General features: G+C 38.9%; 1 protein-coding gene across 19 annotated transcripts in view, besides 2 other annotated features; it reads left to right on the forward strand.

Annotated features, from left to right (window-relative positions):
* NPAS3 (neuronal PAS domain protein 3) overlaps nt 1-16,759 on the forward strand; it is an 869,389-nt gene that overhangs the window by 617,139 nt on the left and 235,491 nt on the right. For all 19 annotated transcript variants that reach the window (XM_017021582.2, XM_017021583.2, XM_047431678.1 and 16 more), the window contains one exon: nt 8,198-8,287. In XM_017021582.2, the coding sequence (XP_016877071.1) occupies nt 8,198-8,287 (90 nt within the window). The remainder of the gene's footprint in view (nt 1-8,197; nt 8,288-16,759) is intronic.
* Nucleotides 46-681: an enhancer, noted in NCBI's record as "OCT4-NANOG hESC enhancer chr14:34021175-34021810 (GRCh37/hg19 assembly coordinates)". NCBI's record gives its function as "activates a minimal SCP1, AML or CMV promoter by ChIP-STARR-seq in naive H9 embryonic stem cells {active_cell/tissue: H9 hESC(naive)}" and the evidence as "EXISTENCE:reporter gene assay evidence [ECO:0000049][PMID:30033119]".
* Nucleotides 12,613-13,142: an enhancer, noted in NCBI's record as "H3K27ac hESC enhancer chr14:34033742-34034271 (GRCh37/hg19 assembly coordinates)". NCBI's record gives its function as "activates a minimal SCP1, AML or CMV promoter by ChIP-STARR-seq in naive H9 embryonic stem cells {active_cell/tissue: H9 hESC(naive)}" and the evidence as "EXISTENCE:reporter gene assay evidence [ECO:0000049][PMID:30033119]".

Here is a 16,759-nt window from a genome sequence, read left to right on the forward strand (position 1 = left end):
TGTGTATTCAGGGTATCCTAAATTGGAAACTGCCTTTGCCTTGGGGCTTTCTGTTTTATAAAGTTAATTTTCAACTTTATTCATTTTCTTAGTCTTGGATCCCACAGATGAGTCGTCTTTAAGAAAGCAGCTTGTGACTGGGAACCTTGTCTCACTCCCCTTTGTGAACCTCAGGCTGTCCTGGGCTTGATGTATAATAAGAGCTCAACAGGTGCTTTCTGTTGCAGTCAACAGGTGCTTTCTAAACAGAAAGAGCATGAGACTCACTCGTGTGGAAAGAAATGCTGGAAGAGGCAAGGATTCCACACAGCTATATCGAGGTGTGAAACAACTAAAATACCCAGCAGGTGGTCTCAGCAGTGGGAGGAAAAGCAGTCAAAGGATCCTTTGTTCTCAGCTCTACCACATGTTAGTTAGGTGACACTGAGCAATGTACTTAAATGCTCTGAACCTCAGTTTCCTCATCTGCAAAGTAGGATTAAATAATACCTCTCTCACATGTGAGCTATGTAATGTGACTAACAAATGTTTGCTTCCTTTTCTTTTCCCTGGTGAATACTGAGTGAACTGAGCATTGTTTATGATGTCCGATAACAATAAATGCAATATATATTATATATAATACGTGTAACAGCATATTTGATTCATATATAACATACATATAATGAAGACCACTTCCTACTTTCCAGTAGTCTATATTCGACAGGATGTAAGGTAAACAGTTGTTATTTATTCTTTTCTTTCAGTTGTTTTTTTTAATGCCAACAACTTGAAAGACACCTGGTACCCGCGTGTGAGTGAACAGCATATATTTCTAGCCAAAGCAAAGCAGTGACATTTTTAGGCCATTCAGGACCAGTGCAATGTATTGTTTATATTACTTCTGCCAAGGTGGGAATTCCTCCTCTACCTTGAAAAAGAACTCTGAATTCAATGAGAGAGAAGCACAGTAAGGAATGAGCCCTTAGATTCGGAAGTCTACCGTTCAGTAATTTAACATACCACATGTGTGCACAGCAGATGTAGCATTGCAATGAATATTTGTGCTCTAGAATAACTATTGGAATCCTCTCCTTGAGGCAAAAGGAGCCTGTGCTCACCTGTGCTCCAAATGGAGCCCCGGTTCCTCTGGGACAAACCAGAGATAATATGGAGTTGCCCCTGTGGATCAGAAGCCAGTCACTGTCTTTTGACCAGAGCCTATTGTCCATTTGGCTGGATGTTCAAATCAATAAATCTGCATCCCTCAAGGCTGGAAGTAAAGCCTAAACTAGCATCCCAGAGGAAAAAGTCAGCACTTTGATACACAGCTCCCCCAAAATGGAATTTTAAGGAGCAGAAGTAAAACCTCATCTTGCTCAGAAAGTGGGTCTCTTTGTTCTTCTCATGTTTTAACACTTTGCTAGCTCAGTGTCTCTCCTTTAATTCTGCTGCCTCTTTATTCTGCTGCCTCTCTTTTAAGGACTGAAGAGAGGCCATCTATGGCTCTTAACTGTTTTCTCACCTAAGAGGTTTCAATTTACATGTTGTGGGAAACCCTTACGAAAGGTGTTTTGAGGCATCACAGTTTGCTGTTCTGGATTTATTTTTTAGCAGAAAAATAGTCAAATTTAACTAATCCAATTTGGTGTTGTGATTGGGAAACATGTGGCTTTTGGTACCTGACAGTATGAACCTATGCTATCCTTTGTGCAGTTGACTCATTGAAAGGCAAAGGAAGGAACAGAAAGCTCTTAGAGATTCTTAAGGGTTAAATAAAGCCTAAACCTTTGATGTGTGTGCTTTTATCCACTTTGAGAAAATATACTTGACTTAGATTCTTATTCCTGAAAATAAGGCTTTTGTTTCTGCACAGTGCTGGATTGTTAAAAGTCAGATTGCAAAGACACAATTTGTGAATCTTTTTCTTCCCCGTAAACAGACACATGTGGGCACTTTGGGCACCATCCAGGTTCTCCTTGAAGTCGCTTGGAGTCCACATGTGTGTGCCTGAGCAGTATAGCATCACTTCCTGAGTGCATTCGGAGGGCAATATGGCATTTTAATGAGCGCTATCACAGTGTGATTGTATCAAAAGGCCAAAAAATTTAAGAAATATTTGTTTCTTTCCAACTCTTTTAACTGCTGCCAAAACAGAGTGGAAAGATAGGCAATGGAGTCCTGTTCTCACTCTCCAGCCAGGCTTCTCATATGGCTCAAGGGCAGACCCACTTCTTCCCAAGGCTAACCCATTGCTTACGGAATGGAGGCAGTTTTCTCACAGAGCCTCTCCTTATTAACAGCAAAGCTGTCTTAGCAGCTATTAAATGCTCACTTCTAATGTCTGATATGCATAGTGCCCGAATTCAGGCTCTGCCGTTGTCCTAACGGAGTTATGTCACAACAGTGAAGAACTCTGGGTTTGAAGGGAAAGTTGAGTATGTCAGAGATTATACTCTATCACGTATGGGCATTTTCTCTGCAGTCTGAGCCTGAATTGGAAGAACATCACAGATGCATGGCACATTGGACAAGGAGCACATGCATGCATTTAAATCATGTATATCTTACTTTTTTACTGATGTAATTGTGAAATATGTTCTTTTTGCATTCATAATTAGGGGGTGGAACAGATGGTGAAGGCTTAGTTTAAAATAATCTGTCATTAAAATAACCTAGCCTACTGGTAATTCTTCTCTCTAACTGGAGTTAAGTCACAGGAAAAGAGTTTGGGGGTGATTTTTCCCCCTTCTGTACTGGAATGTCAAAGAAAGAACTACTAATTTCAGAGTGCTTACATACTCAAAACTTGTCCCTAAAGGAGCACCATGGTAAGATGTCACTCTGTGAAATTTGGCTGCAGAGGAATATGCACAAAAAGGAAAGCAGAGGCAAAACTCCTTTGACAAATATAAATCCATTTAGCACAATGCATTAAACATTAGTATACCTTCAGTCATGGACCTGTGGTTAGTTCCACACCCTGCAAGGAAGTAACCTCATCATTTGACAAGTACTGTTAGAAGCATTCAGCTTTTGGGGTTAAGAAACTATGCCTTACACTTTATATGTTACACTAATGTCAGGGGATATAAATTATAATTACAGGCTTTATTATTCAGAGATGCTGTAACTCCTGACTTCTGTATCCAAGCCTCACTTCTTGCATGTGTACCTCATAGACTTACTGGGATGTGACAAAGGAAATCTCCGATCAGCCCTGTCTGGATGGCTAAGAACTGTTTTCAGTAATAAGAAAACTGTCTTGATAAATCAGATACTTGCATGTCTTTAAAATGTCTGTTTTACTGTTTCTTCTAAGATTGCGTTTCCCATCTGCTTTGAGGAAAGCAGATAGATTTCAGCATGGCTTTATAATAAATCTTCTTGAGGAGGGACTAGCATTAACATTTGTGTAGGTTCTTTTTCATCTTAATCCAACCTTAGTTAATAATCAGAAAATTCTACATAGTGAGTAAGAAGATGTAATTAACCCTTTGACCCCAGAATCTTAATTGGCGCCTGTTGAAAACAGTGGGCAGTTGAAAAAAAATTAAAAAGTAGCCTGCAGTGATTGAACTGCATAGTATATAATAGCTTTCTTGATTCAAAATTTAAAAAAAATTCCACAGAACTTTGAGATTAATCACACTTGGTTTCCAAGACTAACTGACTGAATGTTTTCTTCCTCCTCCCACCTTTTTAAGTTGATAACACCCAAATTAAACCAACAATGATGCTACCCTTCAAACTTTTCTAAGTGGCAACATGCAGCTACCTTATAGCAGAGACAATCCTGAATCAGAAGGTAGTGGCTATGAGAAAAGTGACCTTGGCAATCCACTTTAGACCTGACTTCATATCCCATTTTTTATTTGAAAGGTAATCAAATCTGAGATACGGACATTGATCTGAGACTATAGGTATAATTGACTAAAATGATAAGCATAAAAGTGAAAAATATGGTAAATTAACCAATTGTTGTTGGTGTGTCTGTGTGTGTGTGTGTGTGTGTTTCACTTCTGTGATGACTAACAACTAATTTAACTAGTTGTTTTCCCCCCTACCAAATTGGCCGTTATTTTTCATTGAATTGACTGGATGTCTTTGTGTCATGTAGACGTAGACTCATTTTAATCTCACCAGGAAATTGGAACATGTGTTGAAGCCTCTGTTTTTGCCAAAAAAAACTGGCCAGTTCTTAGATCGCTACTGCTTAATAGCATCAGATGTTTAGCCTCCAGATATTCTTTTACCCTGCTATGGTGCCCAAACCTCCTCAAATATTTTAGTAAGTACATGAAATCTGAACCTCATGTTAAAAATCACAATCCCCTTTAGTGAGGAAGTAAAGGATATGCGTAGACAGCAAATGACACATCTATTCAGAAATAGCACTGGGTACTTTGAAGGACAGAAAAGAATCCATTCTATTCTGAATATCAGGAGGTATCCCAGACCATAGTGGAAATCTGTGGAATCTGAATCTGTAAATAATCTAAGTCCATAAGCTGGACTCCTCAAGAAAATAATTTCCATCCTTACTAGTCATTATGGTATTTGTGATATAAGGAAAAGGGAGCACTGAGCATGGAGGTAGAACTGGATTTCATAAATCTTGATTGAGTGGTTGTTAGATGCCAGCTAGAGAAAGATAAATAAGGCATTGCCTCACTGTTGAGAAATTCAGTGATTCAGAAATTCTCTAGTTGAGAGCTGAATAAGCCAACCAGAGGCATACAATGCCATAAATGCTTTAATAATTGTATGGGAGTGAAGAAGATTTAATCCTGGCTCTGCCACTGACTGGCCATCTGATCTTGTCTGGCCACTTAGCCTCTCTGTGCCTCAGTTTCCTCCTCTGTAAAATGAAGGTTTAGAACTATAGGAGATTATCCCCACACCAGCTTCATCAGTCCATCCTTCTGCACCCAACCAGGCTTCCAACTGTCCCTTGTGTCCTTGGAAGTTCTCCTGTGATCTTTCTTTGTGTTGTTGCTCTAATTGACAATGACATATTAAAATTTGAGAAGATGACTTACACAGTTCTCCGTGATTGTGTACCAAGCCATGGCTATCAGGTCGAATGGAAAATCTAATAAGCCCTTTTATAAGATTCAAGGGAATAGTCACAAAGGGGAGGGTCCTAATTTTCATGAGTCATCCTCAGGAGACATCTTGTTTGAGGTAAAGATATGTTGAAATTAGATCCTTCCCAAACTTGTAGGAAGGAAATATCTCTCCCCTTGCACTGCTTCAAAGTGAGGTTCCGCTATACTACATCCCTGCGCTTGAAAGGCTCTATCAGAAAAGACTGCAGAGGGTTTGGCAGTTTTGTCAAAGGTAAGGAGCCCAGTTCCCTTAGACAGTATTTTATTCCCAAAAGCTGGTTCCATGGGAAATATTTCGCAGCAAAGGTGGCCAGGTAACCTCCTGTGGAAGTAACTTAAGTAATCTCTTGCCATCCTACTTCCCCTCTGTCTTCTACCCACAATGAAAGGATTCTATTGTTTGAACACAAATTGTTCAAAAGCAAGGGGTGATGTTTAAGATGTACAGGCTGCCTCTTAGGGTAAATATTTTAATTTCAGAAATGCTGTGAATATTCGCCTTTTCATTAATTTACACATGTCAATTAGAGAATCTTTATTTTTATTGTAAGGCAGTATAGTTAGTTATTAAGTCCCACTGCCAAAGTTCAAATCTAAACTCCAAACTAGGAATAGGCTTGTTGCCTAACTTCACTAATCCTCAATTTCCTTGTATATAAAATGTAGATAATAACAGCTGGGCGCAGTGGCTCACGCCTGTAATCCCAGCACTTTGGGAGGCCGAGGCGGGCAGATCACGAGGTCAGGAGATCAAGGCCATCCTGGCTAACACGGTGAAACCCCGTCTCTACTAAAAATACAAAAAATTAGCCAGGCGTGGTGGCGGGTGCCCGTAGTCCCAGCTACTTGGGAGGCTGAGGCAGGAGAATGGTGTGAACCCGGGAGGCGGAGCTTGCAGTGAGCTGCGGTCTCGCTACCGCACTCCAGCCTGGGTGACAGAGCAAGACTCCGTCTCAAAAAAATAAAAAAAATGTAGATAATAATACTATAATTTCATATAGTACTTGTGAAAATTAAAAGAGACAATATGTGCAAACTGCTTAGCACAGAATGCTTAATAAATGTAAGTTGGCATTATTGTATTATTGTAGCTAAAAGCTCATCTATCATGTAATCTGCTCTTTAGTGGAACAATATAATGTGACTTTTGAATTGTTTTCAGAACCCAAGAAATCAGAGGAGGGGATTGGGTGTCATCCACAGTTTCTGACCAGTGGGGCAGTGAAAACAGGTCAGGAAACAGGAAAATTCACTTTTTTTTTTTTGAGACAGAGTCTTGCTCTGTTGTCCAGGCTGGAGTACAGTGGCGTGATCTTGGCTTACTGCAACCTCCTCCTCCCGGGCTCAAGTGATTCTTGTGCCTCATCCTCCCAAGTATCTGGGATTACAGGTGTGCCACCACACCCAGCTAATTTTTGTATTTTTAGTAGAGATGGGGTTTCCACCATGTTGGCCATGCTGGTCTTGAACTCCTGGTCTCAAGTGATCTGCCAACCTTGGCTTCCCAAAGTGCTAGGATTACAGGCATGAGCCACTGTATCTGGCAGAAAATCAAAATTTTATATATACGTACATACATATAATATATGTGTGTGCATCTGTATGCATACATATATATACACATATATATATAAGAATATATATAATATACATTCCCCCAAAATTCAGTATTTTAGGAGACTGAAATTATTGCTAGGATTTGAGAAGGCACATATTTCTAACTAAATTTACACGCTTCTTCCACCTTTCTATATTTTACAAATTTTGTCATTAATTTAGTGTTTTCATACACCTTGCTCCTAGCGCGGGTTTCCTGTATTTGCAAATTCACGGCCTTTTTTTTTTTTTTAACACCACTCACATTTAAAAACTTTTTTTCCTGTACAAGCAGCATTTGTGCAACTTACCTTGTTAAAAATAACTATAAAGCAAAACAAAAGACATGCGGATGACAGAGGGTGTAGGATGCACTGGATTGCAAGAATGTGAAACAAATTTATTCTCAGTTTGAATGCTGTATTGCAGTTGGAGTTCATGATGATTTACACCATTCATCAAACTGAAAATGCAACCCTCCATTTGGAAAGTGGACTGAGGTTTTAGGAGTTACAGATGATGTGTAGCATCCTTTTTCTTTCTTTATTCTTTCTTTCTTTCTTCTTTTGTTCCATTTCAGGAGTGGTGATAGAAACTAAAACTGTCACTATAAAACTTTAACAGAGAGTTTTGCAAAACAGGATTACAGTTTGTAAGATTGCAGCCCATAAACATTATCCCTTAATGTATTGACATTTCCTGTTGTTCTAACACAATGGGCACTGGGAGTAAAGAAGGCATAATTCCTTATTAATTAGCAAATTGTTGATGTTCATAGTAGTGCAAGTAGTGATTTTACTTGCTCTTGATATAGGAAGCCTTTTTTTCTTTCATTTCATTACGATCTTTATTCCTGTTCAACTATTTAATGGAGAATCTTGCTGATTTAATCTCAGTAACCACTGAATCCAAAAAAAATAAAGGCAACAGCTCATAAAATCAGCATGACCTTATTTTGTACATGAATGTAATGTATCTTGATCAAAATGACAGAGACATAAGTCCCTAAAGTAAAAGAAAGCTTTCAGTCTTAATTCAGACATTTAATTTGTTCATGTATAATGCAATATTAAAAGATCTTAGGACTTTCGTTAAACATGGAGAAAAGACGGTCTTAAATTCAGCGTGGCCGGGCGCGGTGGCTTACGCCTGTAATCCCAGCACTTTGGGAGGCTGAGGCAGGTGGATCACCTGAGGTCAGGAGTTCGAGACCAGCCTGGCCAACATGCTGAAACCCTGTCTCTACTAAAAATACAAAAATTAGCTGGGCATGGTGGCACATGCCTGTAGTCCCAGCTACTCGGGAGGCTAAGGCAGGAGAACCCAGGAGGTAGAGGTTGCAGTGAGCCGAGATTGTGCCACTGCACTCTAGCCTGGGAGACAGAGCAAGACTCTGTCTCAAAAAAAAAAAAAAAAATTCAATGTATTGCTTTTTCTCAGTTGCCTTACTAATTAAATCTGCATCCTTTGTATTTATTAATCTATTTATATATTTATTCTTTTTCCTGCAGTCCCTGGATGGCTTTGTATTTGCACTAAATCAGGAAGGAAAATTTTTGTACATTTCCGAAACAGTCTCCATCTACCTAGGCCTCTCACAAGTAAGTAAAACAATTTTAGATTCTTGGCAGCGATTATGAAGCCTTCTTCAGCCTCATGTTTTTCCTTCTTCAAGGAATATTCTGTTTAGCATGAATTATCAAATGTATTATTTAATGGCTTTACCTGACTGTTCTCTCAAAGTCAGTGAGAAACCTGTGTGTCAGTGTTGAACATTCAGAATAAACTTGTGCTCAAAAACTTTAGTTCCGCTCCCCACCCCCCAAGGATCATTATTAATTTATCGAGAACAAATGAAGTTTCTTCCCTTGGTTGTTTTGAACTTTGAAACCTCTGTGCCCAGTAGGAGAGGGACACACTAATAGTGCTTCCCTTGTGTCCTATTACTGGATGTTTATGGAGTACCCTGCATTATCCTGGGAGCTGACACAATGGCAGGAGTCATTTGGAGTCAAGAAATGCCGAAAGAGACCATTAAAATGCGTTGCAGGGAGGGTTCCAGCAAGGATATATTTTGCTGCCTTTGCAAATGCTTCCTAATGCTGAAAGATGATTTCATAAAATAAGACAGCTTTTCATTATTTGCCATTTAATTACTCACATGTGTTTTTCGGAGGGGAAAAGAAAAGAAAATGGAGGCTGATGGGCCAGGGACAAAAATCCTGGATGTTACTTCTCGATATTCCCCTGGAACACAAAAATTTAAGTTCCAGTGAATGCCAAGACACGGGCTGCATCTGGTGAATGCCAAAATATCCTGAAGCAAGGTTTGCACTTCAGCTAATTATCCAGATGTTTTCTCCATAAAAATGCTGAACATCTGGGTATTTGCGCCCATACAGGTGATTGGCTGAGTTTGACCCCTTTCATCTGGTAGTTTGGCATGAGGAAAACACTGCCTCAGTGGGAGGGATTTTGTGTGTGTGTGATAATCTGCCAAGTTGGATAATCTACCGCTCGTTCAGTTGCCCCTTGAAGCTAGAGATAGAGATAAGATTTGTCTCTCTCCTTTAAAGCAGGACCTACCCCAGACTCGTTGCTTCTGAAAGTTGGCACAGCTCTAAGGAGACATCCAGCAAGGCTGGACTCTTTTGGCTGTGAGTGAGTTTGCTGGGTAATAGCTAAATCAAGAAAGACATTGGAAAATAATAGAGAGAGAGATTTGGCATGTAAGGAGGCTTGGGGAAGGAGGAGAAACACTGCCAAATTTGATTATTTACTGTTGAGAATCCAAACAAGGGTCTGGTCTGTTAATGCCTTTTGAAGAACATGCAAGCTCTCAGCTATAGTGTGTGGAGTAATTCTATTTTATGTGGACTTTAGCAAACCAAATGATAGAAACCGAGCTTTTGTTAACTCGGTATTACTATTCTTGTATCTTATTGAAAGATCTGGTTTTGTAATAGCCTTTAACAGACTTTAAGCCTTGTCTTAATCTGTCTGGGACCTAGTATTGAGAATCTTCAATTTTGAAATCGGTGAGCCACCATGTCGCGATGTTGTTATTACCATACAGAACTGGAAACACCACTGTTTGTTGTTCTGCAATGCACATATTCATGTTTCATGCAGGGTATCCAGCAAAGTTTAATAAGCCAGTAAAGAAGAAGGGTGAATAATTAGTTTAAGCAGGTAAATGCTAATTAGGGAACTCCTGAAAAGCATCCATTATATACTAGCTCAAAACACATTTTACAGCCCTGCTTAGTGGTGTAATCCAAATTCTGTCAAGGCAACTGCATTTTCTGTAATTGAGATGTGTATGTTTGCTTTGCATAACAGATGGCTCTGTATGCTTAGACTGATAGCTAGGAAAATAATAATTGCATTATTCTGGCCAAAAGAATATTAGCTCTTGGGTTTTGGCCATTTCAGTCAGTCCTCCTGCCAGCACAGCATATGCACATATATGGATCGGATTTTCAAGGAAATTGATGCATCTGGAATAGTGCGGCCATCTGAAATATCATCTGTTCAAGAAAAATTTGGCTTTAACCCTATGCTGGTTTCTCCTTAAAAGTATTTTATTTAGCTGCTTTTCTACTGTATCATTAAGTAAAATCTGAGACAAATAATTGACGCTTCTGTGAAATAAAGCAACTGTGTAGACATGGTACAGTATCTGGCAATTTTTGTGCAGTCAGTCCTTGCTTTTATATATAATGGGTTTTAAAGCACGTACCAGTAGTCGGCATCTTGACTTATCCAGGGGCAGACCCTGGCCAAAATGTGCCATTGCCTTCTTCTCCTGTGGTGGATGTGTTCAGTGTTGGCAGAAACTGTCAAATATGCAGGTAGAGGCTATGAGATAGGAGACATGGGCCTTCATTTGGCAGCACTATACAACTGAATTGATGAGGGGTCAATCAGTAGAAAGTGATTTTTGCATATACCAATTTATGTATTTAAAAGTGATTTTTGCGTATACCAGTTTATGTATTTAGAGTTCAAAACTAAAGCTTAAGTATAGTTCTGCATTAATATGAAAAGAATCTGATAAGAACATGATATATTTTTAAAAGCCCAAAGCATGAGGGAAAAACAAAAAATCTATGCTAAAACTCTGGAAAAGAGTTTTCAACCCAGTTTGAGTCCTAATAGAGAAATAGAGGTCCCCAAGATACAACTCTTTCCAAGTTTCATCAATGCCCTTTTTCAGTTTTAGGGGTTGTGGGGTGATATACAAAGTAAATATACTCTAAGTAAATTAAGCATTTGTTCTTTTATGAGCACACACACACACACACACCCTTAATCAAATGCAAACCAAATGCTCTGCTTGTATGCTACAACTTTGGCTAAGTGGTTATTCTATCAAATTCTAGACAGTGATAAGGAATCTGTAAAGTTATGGACCCTCCTTTCCTTTCCAAATAGTTTTGTTAAATAAAGACAATGTGTAACTCTGTCATCAAAGACTTGTCCAGTGAAATTGTTCAGGAGGACTGTGAGCATGTCAGTTTGTTACAGAGCATAGCTATGTCTGTATTGCTAACTCTCAAGATATCCCTTCCTCAGTTTTATTTTCTTTCAATGTGTACATAAATGTGGTGGCTTTAAAACAGCTTATGCTCAGGATAGAATTAGGATTCTTTTTTGGCTCACAAGAAAACAAGATAGGGAAACTTCTACTGAGCTCTGTTGTGTAGCATGGGGATAGAGACAGCCAGAGCGGATTTTCTCTTTGACTCTCCCTTGGGTGGGACAGCTCCTGGTGTCCAGGGCATGTGCATGCCAGGTATTCTCTTTAAAGTATTCTCATCTTGTTGTAATTATGGGAATGAGTGAATGATGATGATTTCTGAAGCTCCTCAACAGTCCTCTTGACTTTGCCAGATACACATACATACACACACACACACACACACAGAGAGAGAGAGAGAGAGAGAGAGAGAGGAGAGATGTATATATTTAACCTAACAACATCCAAGAACTGGTTTCAGGTTATAGAAGTATGCACTGTTGACTTGCTTTCCTGTGTAAAAATGATGCCCAGTTACTCACCAAGAGGCCTTATCTTAAAGGAAGATTCCCACATACTGATGCTGAGTTTGGCTTGCATAGAGACTGAATAACTTGTTATACCTGATGATGGCATTCAGAGCTGTTCATGACAGCTCTGCTTTCTAGCTATAATGGAACAGGCAGAAGTGAAAATGAATTAAGAAAACAGAATGGGTTCCCTAACACTGAAAATGTAGCAATGATATATAGCCAGCGTTTATGAAATCTCTTCCAAAATGTAAGGGGCTTAATCGCCAAAGAATCCAAAAGAGACTTTACATGATAAATAAAAAGTATTTCTAGTTGATACAGGATTTAAAGCTTAGAGAAATATTTATTTGTTGGCTTATACTCTCCTCTTTCCACAAAGGATTTCAAATAGCTTACATAAACACATATGATAAAAATAATGTCAAAATAGAACTAGGGAATAAGGAAAAGGAGATAAGCAAAAGTAGGTAAACTGTTACCACATAGTAGGAAAACACAACAAAGAGGCTCATAAAAAGACCATTTATTATAAATGGTCTTTATTAAAGTTTCAGATGTAACCATGAGCTTCATGGTAACCAAAGCAAAAAGGGAAATCCAGTAAACCATCAAAAATGAAAAACCATTGTTTCTTAAGGAAGGCAAAGTTTTTCTGGGACTGAAATCTGAAAATCTCACGTAGGATTTTGGAAGAGCTAACCTGTAGATTATGACATTGATTTGCTTCCACTGGAGTCCATATTCACAGCAAGGCTGTCGTGATCTACACAGCAAACACAAAGACCCAAATTACAAATCTCATAAGCAGGCAGAAGCCCATTCCCCGCCAGCCATAGCTGTGCGGAAGACCATCGGAGAGCGATGTTCTGTTCCCGCATCCAGGCCTCACAATAGCATTGGCTAGTTTGGTGGTTTACAGGGTTTCAAACTGGCTTTCCTTCACCCATACTCACATCCTGCATTTTCTTCTAAGCCCTCATGAGAAATTCACATTATCGTTGCCAGAGGCAGAGGACATGAGAGACTCAGTTAACCAGAGAATACAATTGGACTCACATCCTCTGAAAACATTTTTTCTGGAAAGTGAGGTGAGACAGGATAATTCTGATGCACACCTATCCCAGCAAAGTGCATTCAAGTTAATATAGGGTCCTGTTTACAACAAAAATGAGATCTAGAGCAAGCCAGGAAATTTACACATTTGTATGGGGTGATACCATTAGAAAATACCCTACGTGCCAGCTAAAACCTCTCTTGAAATGTGTTCTAATCACCCCCCACTGCCTCCAGTCCCCTCCTGCACATAATGAGTCACTTCCCTTTTTCTCACCAAGTCCTCACCCTTATATAAGGTATTTCCTGACTATTGTAAGCCAGCCAGAAGGTAGCTGCAGACAAGGTTACAAATTGGCTTGATTCAAGGCAGCTTGCTGAAAAGGGCAGGGTGGCTGCAGATTATAATAAGAGTTAATAGAGGTGAAGGTGAAAGGGGGTAAGTGGTTGTTTTAAATTTGGTATTTTTTTTAAGCCATGCAGATATATTTGCCATAAACTCCTTTCCTTATCCTGTTGTTCATCTCCATATTTTAGATTTCTCTGCATTTGTTATATAAAATGGCAAATAAAATTACAGCTACAGCACACAAGTACAAGGTCAAATAAATGACAGAGCTCAGTCTATTTGTGAAGCTATTCTGAAAGGGAACCATGGTGCCAAATGTGGTTTATTTGAATAATAAAGAAGAATTAGATTCCCCTGATAACTTGGCCGAGGGCCAATAAATCACTGGAGGTTAAAGATGCTTTGCAACCGCCATGTCTTTCTTTTGCTTTTCCAAAGTGCAAGGCTCACTCTTCCATTCTGTGTTTTTCAATGCAAATCAAGTTGAGGTTAGTATGTGGCTAATACTCTTACTTCCCTGCTTGTAGAAGATATATATATTTCTTTAGTGGGGTTGAAAAAAAAAAGAAGACATTAGCTTTCCTTGTAAGTTATTATTCTTGTTTGGCATCATGACATCCTAAAGAGCTGGAATATAAAGACAAAAAAGGTATTATTTCAACACAGCAGAGGGATTACAATGATGGAGCCAAGTGTTAGCATTTTTGCAGTTGGTGTTCTAAATGTATTCAATGCTAGGATAACTGGAGTTCTTTTAATAAATGAATGCAAATACTGCTTTATGGCCCCCCTTTTCAAAACGTTTCAAGTAGACATACCTTAATTTTTTTAAAAAAAAGCAGAAAAATATATAATTTTCTGCAGCTTGTGACCACCCCCCTGCCACCCCAACCAGCAAGTCTACATTTGTCTCCTGTACACTAATCATGAAAAGTTCATCACTTCTGGGTGTAACAAAGAAAAATGCCCTTTTGAATGTGGAAGCTCTGAGGGTTTGGAGACTATTGAGAAAATATAAGTATCAAAATAATTCAGAAACAGTACAAGGCACAGTGGCACATTATCAATTTACAACATTTAAATTGATAAATGCTTGGTGGTGAAGGCCTACAAGGGCACTTTGAAAAGCAAATAGCGACCTGGTGAAGAAATTGATTTTTCCCCCCCGAAAATGACTGCATGATGCATCATTTGACTGCATGCTGTCCGAGTGCTTGACAGAGATAATCTCAGCAATCCCACGGGTGACCTTATCGTTCTCACCAGGGCAACTTTGTCTACGTTCTGACTTTGTGCATGTCAAGGTTCCTCCCGGCAGGATCCTTGGGGGAAAAAGTTCCTCTGTTCGATCCAGATATTGAACTGCTCGTTCTTCCCCCCTTTTCCTTCCACCCCACCCTTCCAAATAGGCAAACACGCCTCTTTATTTCATCCATAATTATGAACGAGCCAGGCAGAAGAATACAGCTCTGTGCTCTGTATCTTTGTTGAAGCTCCTAATGCCTTTTAGTTCATAGTTCTTAGGTGATCATCTATATTGGCAGGGATCTTTTCATCAGAAAGAGTAGAAAAAATCCCTAATGTTCTCCTATAATGCATCGCCACCTTGAGCAGAGTGGAAAAACCTTACCAGTTTCTTTCTTCTCTGTAGTTGCAGGGTGTTTTATTTTCCTCCCTCCCCTGTCATCTTTACATAGAACCCTTCTGAAACTGTCTTAAGTCATACATGTCAGTATCTAACAATATTATTCTCTTGCAATCCAGTGATTTAAGGTATTTCTCTTATAACCTTAAAATTATGTAACAATGACATAAGGCCCAGAAAACATGTCACCTGTGCTATTTGGCTTTGAATCCCAGTGGCAGCCTCTTTGCAGAGATTTGATAGAATCCACAGGGCTTCTTCAGGACCGTTGGTGTTTGGAAAGTATTTTTCTTCCACAGGGTAATAATCGACAATTTTTTTACGCCTAGAATTTTTCTGTTGATATGTATGGATGTGTGGATGTGTATGTCTGTTGATCAGTAATCTTCCTGCCACACAGCTTGTCGTTGATAATTACAATTCTTGATTAGCCACTTCTTGAAAGCAGCAAATACCCTGCCTGGTGTGGCACCCTGAAGCTTCAGTCCCCACTGCCTCTGACACCCTCAGTTCACCATATTCAACCCCTTTTACCTCCTTCTTTCATCCACAACATTAATTCTGAGTGAACAAGACGTGCTTCCTTGCTTTTGACAAGATTTGCTGCAGTCTCATGCGACAAAAACCCAACACTCATTCCAGATTCAGAAAGTAGGATTTATAACAGCATTTTAATTTAATGTTGGATGTCGAACATATAAAGAGATCACAGTAGTACTAGAGCTGAAAATTGATGCCTTTTTTATTAGTGTCCTCTCAGAAGTGGGTGAGACGCTGTTTGTGCAATGGAGCACAGAGCAGCACAGTCAGATGAATGAGGATATGCTATCTGCAAGGAATCATATTTCAAGCCACTGTCGGCCTCTATTGATGTGCTCAGAGTTGAAAGGTTATGCTAGTAAATGCCATCCGAATTTCCAGCATTAGAAATCGGTAGAATAATCTGCTGGCTGTCACTCTATGCTTAGCCTGAATGCACTGCGTGGGGATGTTTTACTTATTTTAACTCCAAATTAATTTCTTATTACAGGTGCATTTCTTTCTCTCCTCATGCTTTCATCAGTGCCCAAATGGGACTGATTTTTAACAGGTCTTCAGAGTAGACCACTATCTGTGAAAGAGAATGAAAGAAATGTGCGTCATCATACGTGAGAATCATGTTATTCTTATTTGTTCCTTTGAACATATTTTTCCAGACAGTGAGGCTAAAACACAGGAAGTTTGTGCACAGCGAGCTGTTCTTGTTAGACTGAATCATAGAATCTCAGGATAATTCAAGATAAGCTTACCATTTTCAAATGTATGAATCGAAAACCTACATTGCTTCTTAATTTCTGGACTTAAAGTGAGCAAGACAAAAAAAGGAAGATGGAGTATTCTTCATTTTATAGTTGAAGAGATCTAAAGTCAGAAAAAAAATACTTTGTAAGGAGCTAGTTCATTTTATTTGTGTGGATTAAACAGTATTTTCAGATTCATTTTGAAGTAGAGCACTGAGCAAAAGTAAGATTAAGAAAATTTAGTCATCATTCTAAGTCTGTAATTTATTCATATTTAAATAATGAAACGGTGTTTTTCTGAATTAACCCATGTATTATTCATGCAGGCGTTGGCAATATAATGTCCCTGGTTTTCTGGAAAGCAATATGCATTTCTTTGCCTGACAAGCAGTATTTTCTATATGGTATTAATTTAATGGCTTATTTTATTATGCAAAGTTAGAAAGTAAAGATAATTTCTGTCCATAATGCGGTGCTTATATGGGCAATATATGCAAAATAATACCTCTACACTAAAGCCAGCTATCCTTTCTCAGTTAGCTTGGACCCTATAAGAATGATGAGTGAATGCAAACTGCTCATATGAAGAAAAAGAAATAACTTGACCTTCTGGGAAGGAGGTCTAAAATCATTAAATTCATGTGAAATCCAAATTTCATTTCTATACACACACATTCAATCTATATTGGGT

The sequence above is a fragment of the Homo sapiens genome, chromosome 14 (genome assembly GCF_000001405.40).
Source record: "Homo sapiens chromosome 14, GRCh38.p14 Primary Assembly".
NCBI classification, from domain to species: Eukaryota; Metazoa; Chordata; class Mammalia; order Primates; family Hominidae; genus Homo; species Homo sapiens.